Source organism: Homo sapiens, chromosome 15, assembly GCF_000001405.40.
Source record: "Homo sapiens chromosome 15, GRCh38.p14 Primary Assembly".
NCBI classification, from domain to species: Eukaryota; Metazoa; Chordata; class Mammalia; order Primates; family Hominidae; genus Homo; species Homo sapiens.
In genome coordinates, this window is record NC_000015.10 from 74,571,946 (window position 1) to 74,591,127 (window position 19,182).

The following is a 19,182-nucleotide window of genomic DNA, read 5'->3' on the forward strand; positions in this document are numbered from 1 at the left end:
ATACCAAACAAAAATTAGCCGGGCGTGGTTGCGCACACGTGTAATCCCAGCTACTCAGGAGGTTGAGGCAGGAGAATCACTTGAACCTGGGAGGCAGAGGTTGCAGTGAGCCGAGATCGTGCCATTGCATTCCAGCTTGGGCAACAAGAGCGAAACTCCATCTCAGAAAAAGAAAAAAAAAAAAGTTACTGGACTGATTAAAGATAGGAAGCAAGTTTAAAGAATATTTGCCATCCCTTCCTATTTAGTTGAATGGTGTTGCTTCAACCCAATCAATTAAGTTGGGCTTAGATTTTCACTGTTTCTCTAATAAAAATGAACTCTCGCCCTAGTGGCACAGAGTCTGTACCTTGGAAACAATCTCAGGCCATGGTGGCCCTCATATCACCATGAGTTCTTGCCATGCGGCTTAGGGTTTTGAATGGTGAGGCTTGACTAAGAGACCAACTTCAGGATGTATGTCCTGCTCGCTTTGACCCTTATCACTTACAGTGTTGTATAGGAAACCAGGCAAGGTGTCTTCCCAGTCTGCAGGAAAGTGGTGCATCTCAGAGTGATGGCTTCTGGCGATCAGCCGGGAATGAGCCCCTTCTAAGCAACGTGGGCCTTTGTGTCCTCCTCTTCCAGGATTATCAAGTATAAATGACACCCACGACACCTACCCTTCTCCAACAAATGGAGATGATTCTTCCACCCGATTCCCTCTTTATTTTGGAACCAAATCAAAAGCCAAAAAAAAAAAAGATGTCCCTGTAAGGGTGGCAGAATTAGTCTTCTGAGTTGTCTTTTATAGTATGAGTGAGGATAGCACAATTGCTAAGCATCTTCATCTTTGCCCTAAATGATTGCCTTGCCCTCTGTCCTAACTCTTTCTCTTCCTTTGCCCCTCTCAACTTTGTGTTTTGTTCCCTTTTAGAATGGTGGTTTGGCCTGGAGTGATGATGCAGATGGAGGCCGGGGAAGAGAGATCTCTCGAGATTTTGCCAAGGTCTGTAATACTTCCTTTGTGATACAGATAGGGGCAGTTCTGCAGTGGCTTGTTACAGCTGATTCCCAAGAAATAAGGACCAAGGTAGCCAGTGAGTTGCATTTGTAGTGATTCAGATGGTCATAGTATATCTGGTATAAGACTTCAGCAAGATGGAATTTTTCACTGTGTGTTTTTCTTGGGGGATTGGGATTGCAGCTGTATGAACTGGACGGTGATCCTGAAAGGAAAGAGTTCCTGGATGACCTCTTCGTCTTTATGCAGAAGAGGGGTGAGTGTGCATCTACTCATCATTCCAATTCAGGGAATACTGATAGAGTGCCTACTGTGTGCTAGTCACTGTTAGACATCCTGGCCCACTAATCCTCATCCAGGAGGAGAAGAGGCATTTACTGCCAGTTGGTTCTGGATTTAGCCAATTAACCGATAGCCAGATTGAAGAGGACAGAGAAGGTGTTGGCACAAAGTAGATGGAATGATCGTCCACTTTTGGCCCTGCCTGATTTTGTCTCTTCTTCCAATTGACTGGTCTCTGGAGTCACTTCAAATTCAAATATGCCTTTTTTAAGCCTTAAAGCTACCCTGGACTTCACTTAATCTAGCATGTGGGCCTTCTTGTTGGCATATCTAGTCTCATGGAGAAAGGTAAGTGAAAGAAAAGAGGCCCCTCAGGATATTTTGGAAGGGTCTGAAATGATCCATGGAAAGAAAAGGCCAACACTTTCTTCTTACCCATTGGCTTTCGATGTTTGTATTTGCTGGCTTGGTTAGAACATTCCTGCAGTTTAATAGTCAGGTACATAGGCATCTGCCTTTTTTTTTTTTTGAGATGGAGTCTCGCTCTGTTGCCCAGGCTGGAGTGCCATGGTGTGATCTCAGCTCACTGCAACCTCTGCCTCCCGTGTTCAGGCAATTCTCATGCCTCAGCCTCCCAAGTAGCTGGGACTACAGGCGCGTACCACCACACCTGGCTAATTTTTGTATTTCTTTTTTCAGTAGAGTTGGGGTTTCACCATGTTGGCCAGGCTGGTCTCAAAATCCAGACCTCAAGTGATCCACCTGCCTTGACCTCCCAAAGTACTGGGATTACAGGCATGAGCCACCGCGCCCAGCCGGCATCTGCTTTATAATGCACCCTCCCAATTCTCTTTCCTTCTCTCCTCACTCTGCACATCCCCAAGAGCCATCTTCACTGTAGACTATGGTGTGACTGAGTTTAGAGCTGAGTGACTCAACTTCCTGGCTTTGTATTCAGTCATAGCAATGGGTTCACCAGCCAGGTCAGCCCTCAGAACACATGGCCAGCACCCCAGCCTCTCTAGGAGAAGGCCTTCAGCAACCTGTGTGGCTCCACCTTCGTCACCCTCAGGACAAAACCATAGGAGAGAGCTACTCCCAGTAGCCTGCTCCCAGCATCCTGTTATAGCTGATCATGCATCCCTTGGTGCCTGTGTCAACAACTTTATTGAGACCTAAGAATGAAATCTTCCTCTTTATCCTGGGCCAAGCTGTAATGGCAGCCCCCAGCAGCTAAATATTCTAAGTTAACTTCTCTCTCTCTCTATTTCCCTCCTTCCTCCCTACTCCTTTACCTTTGGCAGCCTTATTGCCTTCTTGGTGTAGCCTGCCTGTTACTGTTGGTTTGCGTAAAAAAGGCAATCGAAAGTTTTGAATCTTGGTTTTCCCCAGTCTCTAAGCCCATCAAAGCAATCTGAGCAGCCTTAATTAGTTTGCTCCTCCAGCTGTTACCTGGAACTGCATGTGTCAGTAAAAAACAATATAATCCTGAGGCTGGGCGCGGTGGCTCCTGCCTGTAATCCCAGCACTTTGGGAGGCCAAGGTGGGTGGATCAGGATGTCAAGAGGTCGAGACCATCCTGGCCAACATGGTGAAACCCGTCTCTACTAAAAATACAAAAATTAGCTGGGCATGGTAGCGCGTGCCTGTAGTTCCAGCTACTCAGGAGGCTGAGGCAGGAGAATTGCTTGAACTCGGGAGATGGAGGTTGCAGTGAGCCAAGATTTCACCACTGCCCTCCATCCTGGCGACAGAGCGAGACTCCATCTCAAAAAAAAAAAAAAAAAAAGAATATAATCCTGAAAGATAATGTGACTGGCAGCAATGAACCTCCCCGTTTGCCCTGAGAGAGAAATCCACTTAATACTTTGGTCTCCCCTTCCAATTACCTTTTAATTATTTACAAGCTCCACAAGCCCAGCTGGTGCAAACCCAGGAGCTGATCCTGTCTCAAAGGGGCTGCCATAGCAATATAGATTTTAATCAGCAGTGGAGCTCCACTGCTTTATTTTCCACTTTATTGTTTTTCTCCCTTCCCTGAAGGATTTTTAAAGGAAAATGGAAGTGAGATCAGCCAAGCCGATTGTGAAGATCAGTAATTGTTTACTACTATATGTCCCCACTAGACTAGGAGCTCCTCAAGGAGGGCCACTTTGTCATTCTTTCATGTCCCCAGTGCTAGCACAGGGCCAGGCAGGAAGGTGCTCAGGACATGTTTGCTGTGTGAGCAGTCTTGTTGGTTTTCCTGGCTCAGATTGCAACATGCAGGGTATTCAAGCTGCCTTGAGGTTTGGGTGCATCTGTGTCCTTCAGCCAGCTGCCCCGTAATTGAGAGTCAGCAGTAGAGAACAGTCTTTGCTGCATATCCTGCTGTTCTGTGGCAACTGGGACTGCCAGATTGCCATCTAGTATATTTCTGAGTGAACCCAAAGCAGGAGTGAGTGACTCCCTTTGATAATGTCACTTTATGATTCTTCAGGTCCTGAGTAAATCTTTGTCCTGTCTTCAGCACTTACGTCAGGTATTTCACTGTTTGCTGGCATTACCAACAGAAGGGAAACGGTTCTGTCTGCCACTTGTTACTTTAATAAAAGGTTTCTCAGCCTCAGCACTGTTGACTTTGGGATGGGTAGTCCTTGTTGTGGAGACTGTCCTGTGCACTGTAGGATTTTGTTTTTAATTTTGAGACAGGGTCTCACTCTGTTGCCTCAGCTGGAGTGCAGTGGTGCGATCATAGCTCACTACAGCCTCAAAGTGCTGAGCTGAAGCCTTTCTCCTGTTTCAGCCTCCTGAGTAGCTGGGACTATAGGTAGGCACCACCATGCCTGGCTAACTTTTTTGTTCTGTAGAAATGAGGTCTCACTATGTTGCCCAGGCTGGTATTGAACTCCTGACCTCAAGTGATCCTCCCACCTCGGCTTTTCAGAGTGCTGGGATTACAGGTATGAGCCACCGCACCTGGTTACTGTAGGACGTTTAGCAGTATCCATGGCCTCTATCCACTAGATACCAATATCAGCCCCTCAGTCACAACAACCAAAAATGTCTCTAGATGTCATAAATGTCCCCTGGAGGGCAAAATTGTCCCGTTGAGACCCTCTGGCATGGAAAGATGAGAAAGAGAATAAAGATGTAAAATATCCTCTGCAAGAAAAACTCTTAGCTGAGTGTGGTGGCTCACGCCTGTAATCCCACCACTGTGGGAGGCTGAGGTGGGAGGCTCAGGTGAGTCTCAGTAACATAGTGAGACCTTCTCTCTACAAAAAATGAAAACAAAATTAGCCAGGCATAGTGATGCATGCCTGTAGTCCCAAGCTACTTGGGAGGCTGAGGTGGGCAAATTGCTCGAGCCGGGGACTTGGGGGCCGTCATGGAGGCCAACATTGCGCCACTGCCCTCCAGCCTGGCCAAAAAGTGAGACCCTGTCTCAAAAAAAAAAAAACTTTTTATGAAAATCATCTTACCTCCAGTCAGGTACATGAGAGCAAGCCGTGTTAGGTAGCATTGTTTCCTGTGACTGAGTGCCAAAGGAGTGAGTGCTGGGGCCTCACCCTGGCCTGCAGTGCAGAGAAAGGCTCTGAGAAGAGCTGTGGCTCTAGTGTATCAGACCCAACCATGGAGGTGGAGGAAAAAATGCTGTGACACATGTGGCCCTGGTGTAGCTGGAAGAACCCTTGTTGATGGCCCAGAGCCAGGGGCCATCCTGGATGGGTCAGCTGGCATGAGACTCTGAAGAGCCATGTTTGCCCAAAAAGCGCTTCAGTCTGTAGATATAGCTGAGTTATTGAAGGCAAAATATTGGCTTTCAGGAAACTTGCCGTGGCAGTGTATAGTTGGGCTAGAGAGGAGAGACTGAGGCAGGAAGATAGTGTAGAGGTTGTTATTCCCAGCGATCTCCTTTCTAGAAAACTCTTATCTGGTAGTCCGAACTAGAGTGAGTGGTTCAGGAGGGTTGGGAGTGGGGCATGGTGGCTCATGCCTATAATTCCAGCACTTTGGGAGGCCTAGGTGGGAGGATCACTTGAGACCATGAGTTTGAGATCAGCCTGGGCAACGTAACAAGACCCCATCCCTGTAATTTAAAAAAAAAAAAAAGAAGATGTAATCCCAGCTACCCAGGAGGCTGAGTCAGGAGAATCACTTGAACCCGGGAGGCGGAGGTTGCAGTGAGCCAAGATCGCACCATTGCACTCCAGCCTGGGTGACGAGCGAAACTCCATCTCAGAAATAAAAAAGAAGAAGAAAATTTTAAAAGAGGGGTGGGAGCAGATTGCACTTTTATTTTAATTAATTATTTTATTTATTTTTGAGACAGGGTCTCACTCTATTGCCCAAGCTGGAGTGTAGTGGCGCAATCATGGCTCATCGCACCCTTGACCTCCCCAGGCTCAGGTGATCCTCCCACCTCAGCCTCCTGAGAATCTGGGCCTACAGGTGTGCACCACCACACTCAGCTAATTTTTCTGTTTTTTTGTGTGTGTGTGTGTGGAGACGAGGCCCTTATGTTGCCCAGGCTGGTAGCAAATTCCTGGGCTCAAGTGATCCAACTGCCTGAGCCTCCCAAAGTGCTGGGATTACAGGCATGAACCACCACACCGTGCTGGGCCTCAGATTACAGTTTTAATCATGTGAGGCTTGCTGTCTTTGTTCCTTTTTTTGAGACAGAGTCCCAGTCTGGAGTTCAGTGGTCGATCTCAGCTTACCGCAACCTTCCCATCCCGGGTTCAAGTGATTCTCGTGCCTCAGCCTCCCAAGTAGCTGAGATTACAGCCATGCACCACCATGCCTGGCTAATTTTTATATTTTTTAGTAAAAACAGTTTCACCATGTTGGCCAGGCTGGTCTCAAACTCCTGGCCTCGAGTGATCCGCCTGCCTCCGACTCCCAAAGTACTGGAATTACAGACATGAGCCACCGCACCTGGCCTGTCTTTTTTTTGTTTTTTTTTGTTTTTTTTGTTTTAAGCAAAGTCTCCCTCTGTAGCCCAGGCTGGAGTGTAGTGGCACCATCTCGGCTCACTGCAACCTCCACCTCCTGGGTTCAAGCTATTCTCCTGCCTCAGCCTCCCAAGTAGCTGGGATTACAGGCATGTACCATTGCACCTGGCTAATTTTTTGTATTTTTAGTAGAGACAGGATTTCACCATGTTGGCCAGGCTGGTTTTGAGCTCCCAACCTCAGGTAATCCGCCCGCGTCGGCCTCCTAAAGTGTTAGGATTACAGGCATGAGCCACCGAGCCCGGCTGTCTTTGTTCTTAACAGAATGGTGAGAACAAGGGCCCTTAGACATTTGTGACTTGTCACTTGTGGAGTGTCTGGGGGACACAGGAGGCAGATCTTGCTAGTTGGGACCAAGGAAAAGCCTCATAGACCTCAGCAGCAGGTCAGGGACTTGGCCTCCATAGCTAATATGAAAGGTAAGCAGTAGATATCACAGGAGTCACTGGAAATAGCCTGAGTTAGCCTGGACAACATAGTGAGACCCTGTCTCTACAAAAAAAACATTTTTTTTTAATTAGCTGAGTGTGGTGGCATGCGCCTGTGGTCTCAGCTACTTTGGAGGCTGAGGTGGGAGGATCACTTGAGCTTGGAAGGTCAAGGCTACAGTGAGCTGAGTTCATGCCATTGCACTACAACCTGGGCAACAGAGTGAGACCTTGTCTCAAAAAACAAAAGAAAGAAGGAAAGGGAAAGGGAAATGCAAGGAAGAAAGAAAGAAAGAAACGAAAGAAAATAGCCTGAGTTTGAAAGGCCCGGAGACACCCAGGTGGGCTGTGAGAGGGGCCAGCAGCTTTGACACAGCAGGCTGTGCCCACAGAGGAAGCAGACAGCTCTGAGGGATGCAGCACACAGCAGGCCGCCCCGAATGACCGCAGCTGCAGGTGATAAAATGGCTGTCCAGTGGGAGACAGGGACGGGCCATAACTGCTGCTTTGTGCTGTATCTCTTGCTTGTTAACATGTTTGGGTGAATTGACTGCAACAGATGGGCCTTTCAGCCCTCAGCACCTTGGTTTCTAGGCAAGACCGGGGTGACTTGCACCTTGGCGACCCCCTCCCCTCCCTGAGCAGCAGAGCAACCTGCGCATAAAGAAGCCTGAGAAGATTGGAGTGGGACGAGGCGCAGTGCCCTGTGGGGGTGGAAAGAGCTCTGGACTGGCAGTGCAAAGCCAGGGCTAACATCCCTTCGTTCTCCTGATCTTGAGCACATCCTCCCCACTCTGGTGGCCACAGTTTCCTTATCTATTGAATGAGAGGGTTCAATTAGTGTCATCTTGGAAGTTTCTATTGTCTGTATTGTGTGTCCATGATTGTGTCTATCGAGCTACCCTTGATGAACAAAAAATAAAAGAAGAAAAGCCCCTTTAGCAGTTTTCTATCAAAGTAATTGTATGAAACATCACCAGGAATCTCCGAGACCAAATGCTTCTCTCCTGTCCTTGCTGTGTAATATATTTCCTCTTTTGCTGACTGAAGCCAAATTCAACTAAGCAAGTTGCCCTCGATTGTCCCCCACCACCCTATTCCCGCCAGAATATTTCTCTAGAAAAGACTGGTTAGGTTTAGAACTCTGATGCCCCTTTGGGCTCACCTGTTGCCGTGTGTGTGTGTGTGTGTGTGTGTGTGTGTGTGTGTGTGTGTGTGCGCGCGCGCGCACACGCAAAAAATACACACGTTTCAGCTGGACGCATTGGCTCATGCCTGTAATCCCAGCACTTTGGGAGGCCAAGGCAGGTGGATCACTTGAGGCCAGGGGTTTGAGACCAGCCTGGCCACCATGGTGAAACCCCATCTCTACTAAAAATACAAGAATTAACCAGGCATGGTGGCACATGCTGGCAATCCCAGCTACTCGGGAGGCTGAGGCAGGAGAATCGCCTGAACCTGGGAGGCAGAGGTTGCAGTGAGCCAGGATTGCACCACAGCCTGAGCAACAGAATGAGACTGTCAAAAAAACAAATAAAAAACAAAAAACGTGTTTCTTTGGCAAACATAAAGCCAAAACAGTTGTAAATAAAATTGTCTGGCTAATTTAACTCCCTGTGGGTGGTTTCTGAAATACCATTCCCTCATAGATTTTCCATTTAGTCTTTCAGTGCCCAAGGGGAGGGACTAATTTCTAAGTCTAATAAGCAAAGGCTATTATAAACAATTTCATTTTTCCTTCATCAGTGAGGAAGAAAAGCTTGTTTTTTGTTCCCTAGGAGGTGAAACAGAAGTGTGGTTTCATTAAAGAGTCAGGATGATGATGACGATAATGGTGATTTTACTGTTACTTGCATTTTTATTATACCATACACATTACAGAACCCTTGCAACCCATTATCTGATCTGCTGCTCCCCTCAGCTCCAGCTCTGTAGAGTAGAGAGAGCAAAGGTTATCACCTGTAACCCTGAAGAAGCAGCCCCAAGGTTAAGTGACTCACCTAAGGCCACAGAGCAGACTTAGCACGCGGTCTCCTAACTCCCAGGCCAGTGTGCTTTGCTTCTCCTGCCTTATCTTTGAGAAACTTGTTCCCTAGAGCTAGCAACCCCATCACTCCCCTTTGGAGAAGCAGGCAAACCTCATGTCTTCGGCAGCATTCACCGCCTCCAAGAGGGTGGTGGCCTGCCTCCACAGGCCACCGTTCAGTAGCGCTTCTGAGCATCTAGCTGATGAACACAGGGTAGAACCTGATGTGCAAGATGGGTCTTCATCTCAGGGTCAGGGCTGTTTCTCAGAGAAATAGGGAAGGGCAGATGTGACAACTCAGAGTGGCACAGAGGCTGCCATCTGTCAAGGCAGGATGGGGTAGGGCTTGGGAGACACAGGAGGCACCCAGAATGCCCACAAGCAAGGCTCTCTTTTCCTGCCCCTGCCCCATCTGGGCACACCAGGCTAAGGAACTGCCTGGTCACATGGAAGACAAGTTTTGTCAAGCCCTCACTTGTAGACCTGCCCTCCCGCCCCCATCAGTTCTCTTCAAGGCTGCAAACTGACCTTGGTTTTCCCAAATGGATTGCTGGATCTTTTTTGATGTGTATATACAAAGAATTTACTGTGGGAAAAGGGCTTGGTCTGCTTCAAAGTGCAACTTGAGTGTTTTTCCTTCTGTTGTGTGCTTATCTATCCATCTCAGGCAAGGAAATGTTCATGACATATATTGCTTTGCCTTTTGGTGGAGGCAATTTCTTGTATATTCTTTGTATCTTACCATAAATGGTCTGTGCCCTGGACACCCTTCCTGGCAGACGAAAATATGTTGTCTTTTTCAGACGATATAGGCTTTGGGGCTTCATTTTCTAACTTTATCCCGAAATGAAAGTCTAAAATGCAAATCTTTTAGTGTCTGGATTAGCCCTTTGTCTCAGGCCAGATCCTTTTCTCTCTCTAGGTGACCCAGCTGCTGTTAAAAAAATATACTGGTTTTTCCCCCATTTTTAATAGTCATTATAATACTCTATAAATACCCAGTTATCCACGATCATAGGAAGGGAGTCTGGTTTTTGAAAGTCACAATTAATTTGAATAGCCTGCTTTTGTCGTTAAATTCAGCCTCTTCCCCTTCAAAATCTTTTATTGGTATTTCTAACACATGGGAAAATTGAGTTATTTGATAGTTTTGCCTCTTTTGTCCCAAAGTGAACCAATATTCAGTAAATCATCTAAGAGTTGGTATGGTGAAAAGTTGCAGTGAGTGTTTGGCCTGCTTACACCATGGGGAAGTTCTGCTGGGTTTTGAGAGTCTAGTGGCACAACAGCATTGGAAACTCAGACAGCCGTGCACTGCTCAGGCCAGAAGGCCCATGAGGTGTGCCCCAGCCCAGCCAGCCTTCCACTCCTCTCCTGGAGATGCCAGGCAGATCTGCCCAGTGGCAGGCAAAGCAGGGAAGACCCTGCAGTCCACCTCCTTCTGACTCATTGGCCAGTTTCTCCGAATGCAGTTGTCATAGCCATAATCTTTTTTTTTTTTTTTGAGACAGAGTCTCACTCTGTCGCCCAGGCTGGAGTGCAGTGGCGCGATTTCGGCTCACTGCAACCTCCGCCGCCCGGGTTCACGCCATTCTCCTGCCTCAGCCTCCCGAGTAGCTGGGATTATAGGCGCCTGCCACCACGTCTGGCTAATTTTTATATTTTTAATATAGATGGGGTGTCACCATGCTGGACAGGCTGGTCTCAAACTCCCGACCTCAGGTGATCTGCCCACCTTGGCCTCCCAAAATGTTGGAATTACAGGCGTGAGCCACCGCGCCCAGCCACCATAATCTTATTGTTAGGCATAGCAGAATACAATATTACATTTACCGTTGAACTTCACCTAAAGAGATTAGTCCAAGCTGGAGTAGCAAAAAAGGTAATGAGTTTAAAATTAGCCTCCAAGGTTGTAGAACCACCAGCTCTCCCATGCATTACAGCTGGGAGTGTAAAGGGATACAACTACTTTGGAAGTCTGTTTGGCAGTGTTCGCTAAAGCTAAACATACCTGGACCTTGTTACCCAGCAGTTGCACTCCTGGGTGTATTCCCAACAGAAATGAGTGCTTGTGTTCACTGAAAGATACAGGTAAGCATATTCATAGCAGCTCCATTCATTATAGCCAAAAACTGGAAAGAATTCCAATGTCCATCAGTAGTAGAATGGATAAATAAATGTAGCATAGTCACATATCGGAACACTACACAGCCGTAGAAAGTTATGAACTAGCCGGGTACGGTGGCTCACACCTGTAATCCCAGCACTTTGGGAGGGTGAGGCAGGTGGATCACTTGAGCTCAGAAGTTCAAGAGCAGCCTGGGCAACATGGTGAAACCCCATCTCTACCAAAAAAAAAAAAAAAAAAATTAGCTGGATGTGGTGGCACCTGCCTGTAGTCCCAGCTACTTGGGAGGCTGAGGTGAGAGAAGTGCTTGAGCCTGGGAGGCAGAGGCTGCAGTAAGGCGAGATCATGTCACTGCACTCTAGCCTGGGCTACAGAGTGAGACTCCACCTAAAAAAAAAAAGTTGTGAACTACTGCTTTACGCAGCTGGGATGACTCTCAGACCTGATATTGAGCAAAAGAAGCCAGACACAGAATATATACTATGTGAGTCCATTTATATAAAGTTCAAAAAAATATATGTCAGAATAGCATTTTATTTCCAGAGTGGGTAGGGTGGAGGGATGGATATTGATTGGAAAGAGGCATGAGAGAGTTTTCTAGGGGTGCTGTAAATGTTCTGTGTTTTGGCCAGACATGGTGGCTCACGGCAGTCATCCCAGCACTTTGGGAGGCTGAGGCAGGCGGATCATCTGTGGTGAGGAGTTTGAGACCAGCCTGGCCAAATGGTGAAACCCTGTCTCCACTAAAAATGCAAAAATTAGCCAGGCATGGTGGCAAGCGCCTGTAATCCCAGCCACTTGGGAGCCGGAGGCAGGAGAATCGCTTGAACCTGGGAGGTGGAGTTTGCAGCGAGCCAAGATCACACTACTGCACTCCAACCTGGGCAACAGAGCGAGACTCTGTCTCAAAAAAAAAAAAAAAGTTCTTTATTTTGATCTGAGGGATGGTTGTGGAGGTGTATTTGGAAGTACACATCTAGTGAGCTGTATGGTTAAGGTTAATGCACTATACCATATGTAAGTTAGACCCACTCAGTGGGCAGTTGGAGGTGGAAGGCTTAAGGATTCTTGTCAGTCTATACTAGCATATTGGCACATGCTTGCCTCTGGCCTGTCTTGTGGAACAGTGCAACTACAAGCTGCACGGCAGACTACCAGACACTGCTGCCTGATTTCCCAGTGGGAGACCTTTTTCCTTTTCCTTTCCCGTTTCTTTTTCCTTTCCCTTTCCTATTAAAACTTTTGTTAGAGGTTCAGGTGGTACATGTGCAGGTTTTTTACATGGATATACTGCAGGGCACTGAGGTTTGGGGTACGATTGATCCTGTCGCCCAGGTTGTATGCATAGTACCCAATAGGTAGTTTTTCAGCCCTTGTCCCCTGTAGTAGTTGCCAGTATCTGTTGTGATATTCTCTATATGAACAAGTCATGGGGGGAAATCAGCAGTCATTTCTCTGCTGGCTTCTGGGGAGCAGTTCTAGAGCAGGGCAAGAATGAAGATGCAGAGGAATGTTCAGGAAGCCTGCCTGCCTGCGCACATTCCCTGCTTAACACAGGTCTTAACTCTTCCAGGCTCTCTGGTCAGCTCTCTTGACAGTCAGGCTATGGAAATGATTAATGATCTTTCTCAAAGCCTGGAAAAAGCAGCAAGGGTCCCTGGCAGGGCCACACCCTGGGTCCTGGGCCCTCACCCCTGCCCAGTGGGCAGGAAGGCAGCCATATGAGTCTGTCTGGGGTCCCTGCCCCTGTTTGCTTCTGGACTTCCCTGGAACCGGCCCATTCTCTGCAATGGGGAGGAAGTGGCTTTCCCTTCAACACTCTTACCATCTCTCATCTTTGTCTCCAAAGCCAGAAGAGGCCATCTCTTCTGCCCTCACCCCTATCCCCAGCTACATCTTGGTTGTCTGAGTGGCAGGAAGGAAAACAAAGTACCAGGGAGCAGCTTTTGTTTGGCCACATCTGCACTGGAAGCTCCTGATCACAGCTGTGGCCTGCTAGTGCCAGCGCCCAGCGGCATTCCCACCAACAAGGGTTAAAGCCCCAGGAGTCCCGCCAGCTTCACTGGGTCCATGGCCCTCATAAAAGCCTTTTACATCCGTCCCTCAGGCTGCAGGCTCCCTGGCTGAAATCTGATAAGGGGCCTCTTTGTTGCAACTGTCAGTCTCCTTTATTGAGGAGGGAACTGGAGACCAGTGGCACTTCTTGGGGTGCAGATAAGGCCCTGGATTCCTGTCAGAGAGAGCATGATTAATTACCCTCAATCCCAGCTCCTGCTTTGATAGCAGTGACTGACAGTCCACAGGCTTCCCCATCAGGTGCTCACCCCCTTCTGGGAGGCATGATGGGGGTGGAGATTTGGTCTCCTGTAGGGCCAACACCAGTGACCCACAAAGATCTCTCTTCAGTGGGTGTTTGCCTCCTTCCTGGTGCTCTGTGGGTTGCTTTTGCATTTCTTGTGGACAGAGGCCTCTCTCTCTCAGGTGAAGAGCTTCCTTAGAGGAAGATAGAATACAGCCCAGAGAGCAGGCCAGAGACCCCTTGCTCCCTCCCGCAAAGACTGGGAAAGGAGCCATTGCTTGTGGACGTGAACTTCACAAATCTGGCCTTAAGCCAGGGGCCCTTCACAGAGAAAATCTCAAACTATCTGTATCAAGGCCACTTGACAATATTACTCTCTAATTCAGGCAAGTTCCTAAAACCATGTGATTCTCCCTTTGGTAATAATCACAACTGTCAATTTTTGTTTATCGATTTATATCTTGCTGGTTTGAAGGTACATCAGCAGAATTTTTGTTTTAATTTTTTATTCATAGACTTTAGAACTGAAAATCATCTAGTCCAAATTCCTCACTTCACATTTGCGGAAACTGAGGCCTGAGTCTGTCGATTGCCTATTGGTTCTTGTTCAGCAGGTAAACTTAGCTTAAAGGCCTTCTCTCTTTCTTCATAGTAGAATCTACTTTGGACAAGAGAAATGGCTACCAGGTCCATTAAGCACAAAGCAAACTGCTGAGACCAACCTGCAGATTCTGCTTCTCTCAGTTGTTAGAAGAATCAAAGACGCGGCAGGCTTTTGTGTCTGGATTATCTGATGGGAGAAAGCGCCACTGTCATCTAGAGAGCCCTCGGCATAGCCTCCGCTCTGTTTCTGATGGCACCAAGGGCCAGCCTGCACTGGGAGCCACTGACAGTTTCACAGAGGGCCAGCCACAGGGAATAATGCGCCCAATCTCCTTATCAGCTTGATCTCCAGAACCAGGGTGCCTGATCAGGGCATGGGGGCTCGTGTGAGGAGAGTTCACTGTGGAGTGAGGAAAACAGCTTCCCAAGTATGCCCTGGGTGGAGCTGGGCCACACAGCAGGGTGCAGGGGCCACCACCACGGTTTCCAGTGCACCTCTTACCTGCGGTTTCTCTGTAGTGTGATGACAGTTCCCAGAAGAGTACACTTTCCCCTCTGGGAAGAGATCACTTATTAGTTAGGTTACAACCTTGACTTCAGACACCACTGTGACCCTTCCTTGTCTCCTCAGGTTCTGTATCTGCCATTGTTCCCCTGGCCCTAAGCAGTTCTCAGTCTAATATAATACAGTCACGTTGTGTGTGACTATAAAGAGGCTAATTTTTAATGAAATTTCTACATCTATAACAATGTTGTCCTTCAAAGATGCCATCTCAAACAGCCAGGCAATTAGTCCAATGACTACTCAAAATGAATTTGTAATTCCTCTCTGGGGAGTTGCCTTCAGAGGCAGTTTGAACCACACTAGAAAATCTCAGCCGGGTGCGTGGCTCACGCCTGTCATCCCAACACTTTGGGAGGCTGAAGTGGGAGGATTGCTTGAGTCCAGGAGTTTGAGACCAGCCTGGGCAACATAGTGAGACCTCGAGAAACATTTCTGGGTAGGTTAATTTATTAACACTATAAGGCATGGTAGGCATGGTAAAGGAAAGACAACCCCTGCCTTCATAGAGCTGACAGTCCTCCTGGGATATCGGATGGACAGATGTGAAACAATTAGAGAAGGACAATTTGCTAAACTTATAGGGGCATGATAGAAATTCTGAGAGGGAAGAAACCCACATGAACTGGGGTAGTGAGAACATGCTTCCTGGAAGGAGTGGATATGGAAGAACACTGTGAAGGATTTGAGGGGAGGCACAAAAGAGCGTGTTTTGGGGGCAATAGGGAGAAGGCCCAGTGAGTTGGAGTACAAGAGAGTTGCTTGGATATGCCAGGAATACTTCACATGTGATCTTCTAAGGGAGTGTTGAGGAACATGGGTCATGCGATTGGACATGTGAGATGGGCTAGGTAAGCAATAAGAGTTTTCATAGGTTTTTAAACAAGGAGGTGAGTAATATGGTAAAAGTAGTATTTTAATAAGATTGGCTGCAGTGTTCAAGTTGATCGTATGGCTAAGAGGCTGCTGCAGGCATCTAACTGTGGGCCAGAGAGGGCCTGGACCAGGATGGTGGCTGCAGGCCAAAAAGGAAGATGCCTTTGAGAGGTACCTCCAAGGACGAATCATGAAGCCTTCTAACACCCTGAAAGTGGGTGATAGGGAGAGGAGAGGAGCCAGTGCTGACACGAGGTTCCTGCCTTCCTGCCTAACTTCCAAGGGTGGTAGTGTTGCTGGGAAAAAATGAGGTGTGGGGAAAGGGAGCTAGTTTAGGGGAATGAAGATGAGCCCAGCACAAACATTCTGACTTGGAAGTAAACGGGTCACACGTGTGAAGATGCCCTAGGAGCTTCCGGAAATGTGAGCTTAGGAGCCCTGTGTGAGGGGACCTGGGGAGTGGTCCTCTCAGACACTCCAGGTAATGCCTTGGAAGGTGTGGACTCAAGGCCATGGGTGTGTTTGGGCAGATAGGCCTCCAAAAGGAGGTCGACGTTAGCCCTGTCCTGCTGGGGGCTTTTGTCTTTCTGGTAGGGGGAAGGTTTACTGTCCAGAACAGCACTGGGAGAAGTCAACCAGCACATGAGCTGTGTGTCTTAGGAGTATGCCCGTAATCCTCTGTTATTTTACCTATGAATTTGTGGATCTAATTCCATGACCCCTTTGTCCTTGACCCTCCAAGGACCAGCAGGTCAAGATAAAGGTCTTCAAGGTCACTAACCCCCTCCCCACACTTAGGAAAGAGGCCTAAGCCAGGTGCTGTGGCTCACGCTGCAGTCCATGTGCTTTGGGAGGCTGAGGCAGGAGGATTGCTTGAGCTTAGGAGTTTGAGACCAGCCTGGGCAACATAGGAAGATCCTGTCTCTACAGAAAATGTTTTTAAATTCCCTGAGTGTGGTGGTGTGTGCCTGTATTCCCAGCTACTTAAGAGGCTGAGTGGGAGGATGGCTGGAGGTTAAGTCTGCAATAAGTCATGATTGCACCGCTGCACTCCAGTCTGGGCAACAGAGTGAGACCCTATCTTTTAAAAAAAAAAAAAAAGAAGAAGAAGAGGCCTGGTCCTGCCGCAGCAGCCCCACATATCCATGCCCACAGTGCTTCCTTTTCATTCTCTGGCTTGAACCATCCTGTAAAAGAGTTGGTGAGGCTGCCATTCAGAGCTGAGAAAACTGCTGTGCCTTTAGGGAAAGAAGGCGGATGGAGCAGAAACAAACAGCTCTTCCCTGCTCAGGTTGGTTTAAGGTCCACCAGGCAGCCCAGTGAGACCTCAGCGAGACTGGGGCAATGGGAGGGGGCAAGGCAGAGGAGCAGTAGTCTGTGTACAGTAAAAGGAGTTTGCCATCAAAAGGCAACAAGTCTCATACCCTGCCCTGGACGGTGACCCTTCCCTGTGGAATTCTCCCCTCTGACCTCCAGATCATTAATCCCGAGGCTGCCAAATGACAGTCATCCATCACGCCTCCTGATGAGCATCCCAGCCGGCTGTGAAAGGACTTGCCCCGCCCTCACCATATCCCCTGGTGCTCATTAGTAGCCCTTCCTCCTCGGTGCCAGGTTTCCTAATCAAGTCCCTGGCTCCTCTCACTTCCCCTCGGGGCCATTGGGTGGAAGCTGCTCTGACCCTCCCCCTTTCAGAGGCCAGGGAGTGGGTGGAGTGATTGGTGTGGGGAGAGAATTGAGTGGCTTTTCATTCCTCTGGAGACCTGTGTGTCCAGCAGCTCCTTTGACATGGCGGGGCACACGAGAGAGAAATAAACCATTTCTCCATCAAGCAGGAGAGGAGAAAGCAGGCATGTGCAAACAAGCACACTCTTTTTTTTTTTTTTTTTTTTTTTTTTTTAAGACAGTCTCACTGTCGCCCAGGCTGGAGTGCAGTGGTGTGATCTCGGCTCACTGCAAGCTCCGCCTCCCGGGTTCATGCCATTCTCCTGTCTCAGCCTTCCGAGTAGCTGGGACTACAGGCGCCTGCCACCATGCCAGGCTAATTTTTTTTGTATTTTTAGTAGAGACGGGGTTTCGCCATGTTAGCCAGGATGGTCTCGATCTCCTGACCTCGTGATCTGCCCGCTTCGGCCTCCCAAAGTGCTAGGATTACAGGCGTGAGCCACCGCACCCAGCCAGCGAGCACACTCTTATAAGCAGCACTGAGCGCTGCCAGGAGGGTGACTAGGCAGGGCTCCCCTTCTAGGAAGTCAGAGAAAGGCATCCCAGAGGAAGCTGCCGCTGAATGGAGTCTGAAAGCTGCAGAGATAAGTCGCCAGATCACTAGGAATAGTCTGGAATCATACTGCCAGCAAAACAAAAACAAAAACACACACACACGAACTAAAAAACAAGCACCTTTGAAATCATCTAGTCTGGCCCTCTTATTTACAGACGGCAAAACAGAACCAGAGAGGCTAAGTGCTTTGCCAAAGGCCCACACAGCCTGTGCGTTGGACCTGTCCTGACAGCTAGTCTGAGTGTTCAGGCTTGGGGAGTTTGAGTTAAATTACACTTCCAGGTTGATGAGCATTGTTTCCAGCTCGGCTAAAGGTGGGCATACACGGAATCTTTCTTCTCAGCCTGATGATGATCCCGCTGTCTCTTTCTCTCGTTGGACAACCACAGGGACCCCCATCAACCGAATCCCCATCATGGCCAAACAGATCCTGGACCTGTACATGCTGTATAAGCTGGTGACCGAGAAGGGAGGCCTGGTGGAGATCATCAACAAGAAGATCTGGAGGGAGATCACCAAAGGCCTAAACCTGCCCACATCCATCACCAGCGCCGCCTTCACCCTCAGGACGCAGTGAGTGGCCAGGGCCTGGGAGAAGGAAGCTGAGGCTGGAGAAAGGGGATGTTGTAACCTAGAGGAGAGGAAGGAAGGAAATTCCTTTGTATGGTTAGCAAGATGAGTGGATTCCCGAAACAGTGGGGAGCTTTCTGAGATGAATCCCTCACTAAACCAAGTAGTGATGAGAACCACCATTTACCAAGTGTCTACTCTGTGCTGGTACTTTACTATTTCATTTAAACCTCACAGTCAACCCTGTAAAGTAGGTATGCCCCCATTTCCCACATTACAAAAATGAAGTCTCCATGGTTAAATAATTTGGCTAAGGTCATATACCAGCCAGTAAGTGGTAGAGCTGAGATTCAGACCTGGGCTTCTGTCTCTAAGACCTGTGCCCCTTCCAGGACATTGTCTTCCAAACAGCATCTCCACCCCAAGTGGCCCCTCTTACCTGATATTCAGCTTACCCAGCGGCAGAGGACCCAGAGAAAGGCAGGCAGGAAGGCCCCCTTGGATTGGTGACCTGGTTTTGTCAGCATTTGAGTTAATTACATGGGTGATGGAAGCGGTGAAACCAATAGTAGCACTGAAGAATGAGGGCCAGAGAGGAATCTTTTCTTCTGGAACACTCTGGAAGTTGTTCTGTGAAGAGTATGCAATGAACAACTGACATCAGTTAGGTAGCATGTTGTAGCTACAACCAGAATGGCAAGGTTCTTGGGTAGAGAACTGCTTCTTGGGACCTAAGACACAAAGAATGACAGTGTCTAGGTCCCATGCACAATGGGAAGAATTGCTCCTATCTGACTAGCCCAGCTCTGAATGGTTATAAGATCAAGAAGTCAGAAAGCCCTTGTAAAACATGGGCCTAATTTTTCCCAGGGCTTCAAAACAAATGTGAAAACGCCAACTAAGATGTTATTTATTTCCCCTAATGAATGGTGCTTCAAAGTAGAGCCTATTTAGGATTGAGTGGCAGTCAGAGGAGGCTGGGGCAGAGTGTCCGGCCATCCCAGACTTTTCTGCCAAGTATACCAAGGTTGCAATCCTTTGCCCTAGAGTCCTGCCCAACAGAGACTGCTTCCAGAGACCCACCAACCTCAACTGGGTGGTCTCTGGTGCTGTTTTGGATTATTCTC

At 48.3% G+C, this 19,182-nt stretch overlaps 1 protein-coding gene and 1 long non-coding RNA gene across 5 annotated transcripts in view, besides 4 other annotated features; one reads left to right on the forward strand and one right to left on the reverse strand.

Moving 5' to 3' along the window:
* Nucleotides 1-19,182, forward strand: part of ARID3B (AT-rich interaction domain 3B) — a 56,912-nt gene that overhangs the window by 30,726 nt on the left and 7,004 nt on the right. For all 4 annotated transcript variants that reach the window (XR_007064418.1, XR_007064419.1, NM_001307939.2 and 1 more), the window contains 3 exons: nucleotides 917-988; nucleotides 1,187-1,259; nucleotides 17,875-18,058. Coding sequence is in view for 2 of the 4 variants with exons in the window: in NM_001307939.2 (NP_001294868.1) it covers nucleotides 917-988; nucleotides 1,187-1,259; nucleotides 17,875-18,058 (329 nt within the window). In the remaining 2 variants the exon portion in view is untranslated. The remainder of the gene's footprint in view (nucleotides 1-916; nucleotides 989-1,186; nucleotides 1,260-17,874; nucleotides 18,059-19,182) is intronic.
* Nucleotides 6,561-8,508: an enhancer, noted in NCBI's record as "VISTA enhancer hs1510". NCBI's record gives its function as "enhancer in: tail[3/3]" and the evidence as "EXISTENCE:transgenic organism evidence [ECO:0001131][PMID:17130149]".
* On the reverse strand, nucleotides 13,653-19,161 carry LOC124903527 (uncharacterized). The gene is made up of 2 exons (XR_007064718.1): nucleotides 18,511-19,161; nucleotides 13,653-18,116 (listed from the first exon to the last, which is right to left on the reverse strand). It is a non-coding gene; the product is annotated as an uncharacterized LOC124903527 (long non-coding RNA).
* Nucleotides 16,111-16,896: an enhancer, noted in NCBI's record as "NANOG-H3K27ac-H3K4me1 hESC enhancer chr15:74880397-74881182 (GRCh37/hg19 assembly coordinates)". NCBI's record gives its function as "activates a minimal SCP1, AML or CMV promoter by ChIP-STARR-seq in naive H9 embryonic stem cells {active_cell/tissue: H9 hESC(naive)}" and the evidence as "EXISTENCE:reporter gene assay evidence [ECO:0000049][PMID:30033119]".
* Nucleotides 16,583-16,877: a silencer, noted in NCBI's record as "tiled region #307; HepG2 Repressive non-DNase unmatched - State 10:DNaseD, and K562 Repressive non-DNase unmatched - State 7:EnhWF". NCBI's record gives its function as "represses a minimal TATA promoter and a strong SV40 promoter by Sharpr-MPRA in HepG2 and K562 cells {active_cell/tissue: HepG2 | K562}" and the evidence as "EXISTENCE:reporter gene assay evidence [ECO:0000049][PMID:27701403]".
* Nucleotides 16,897-17,682: an enhancer, noted in NCBI's record as "NANOG-H3K27ac-H3K4me1 hESC enhancer chr15:74881183-74881968 (GRCh37/hg19 assembly coordinates)". NCBI's record gives its function as "activates a minimal SCP1, AML or CMV promoter by ChIP-STARR-seq in naive H9 embryonic stem cells {active_cell/tissue: H9 hESC(naive)}" and the evidence as "EXISTENCE:reporter gene assay evidence [ECO:0000049][PMID:30033119]".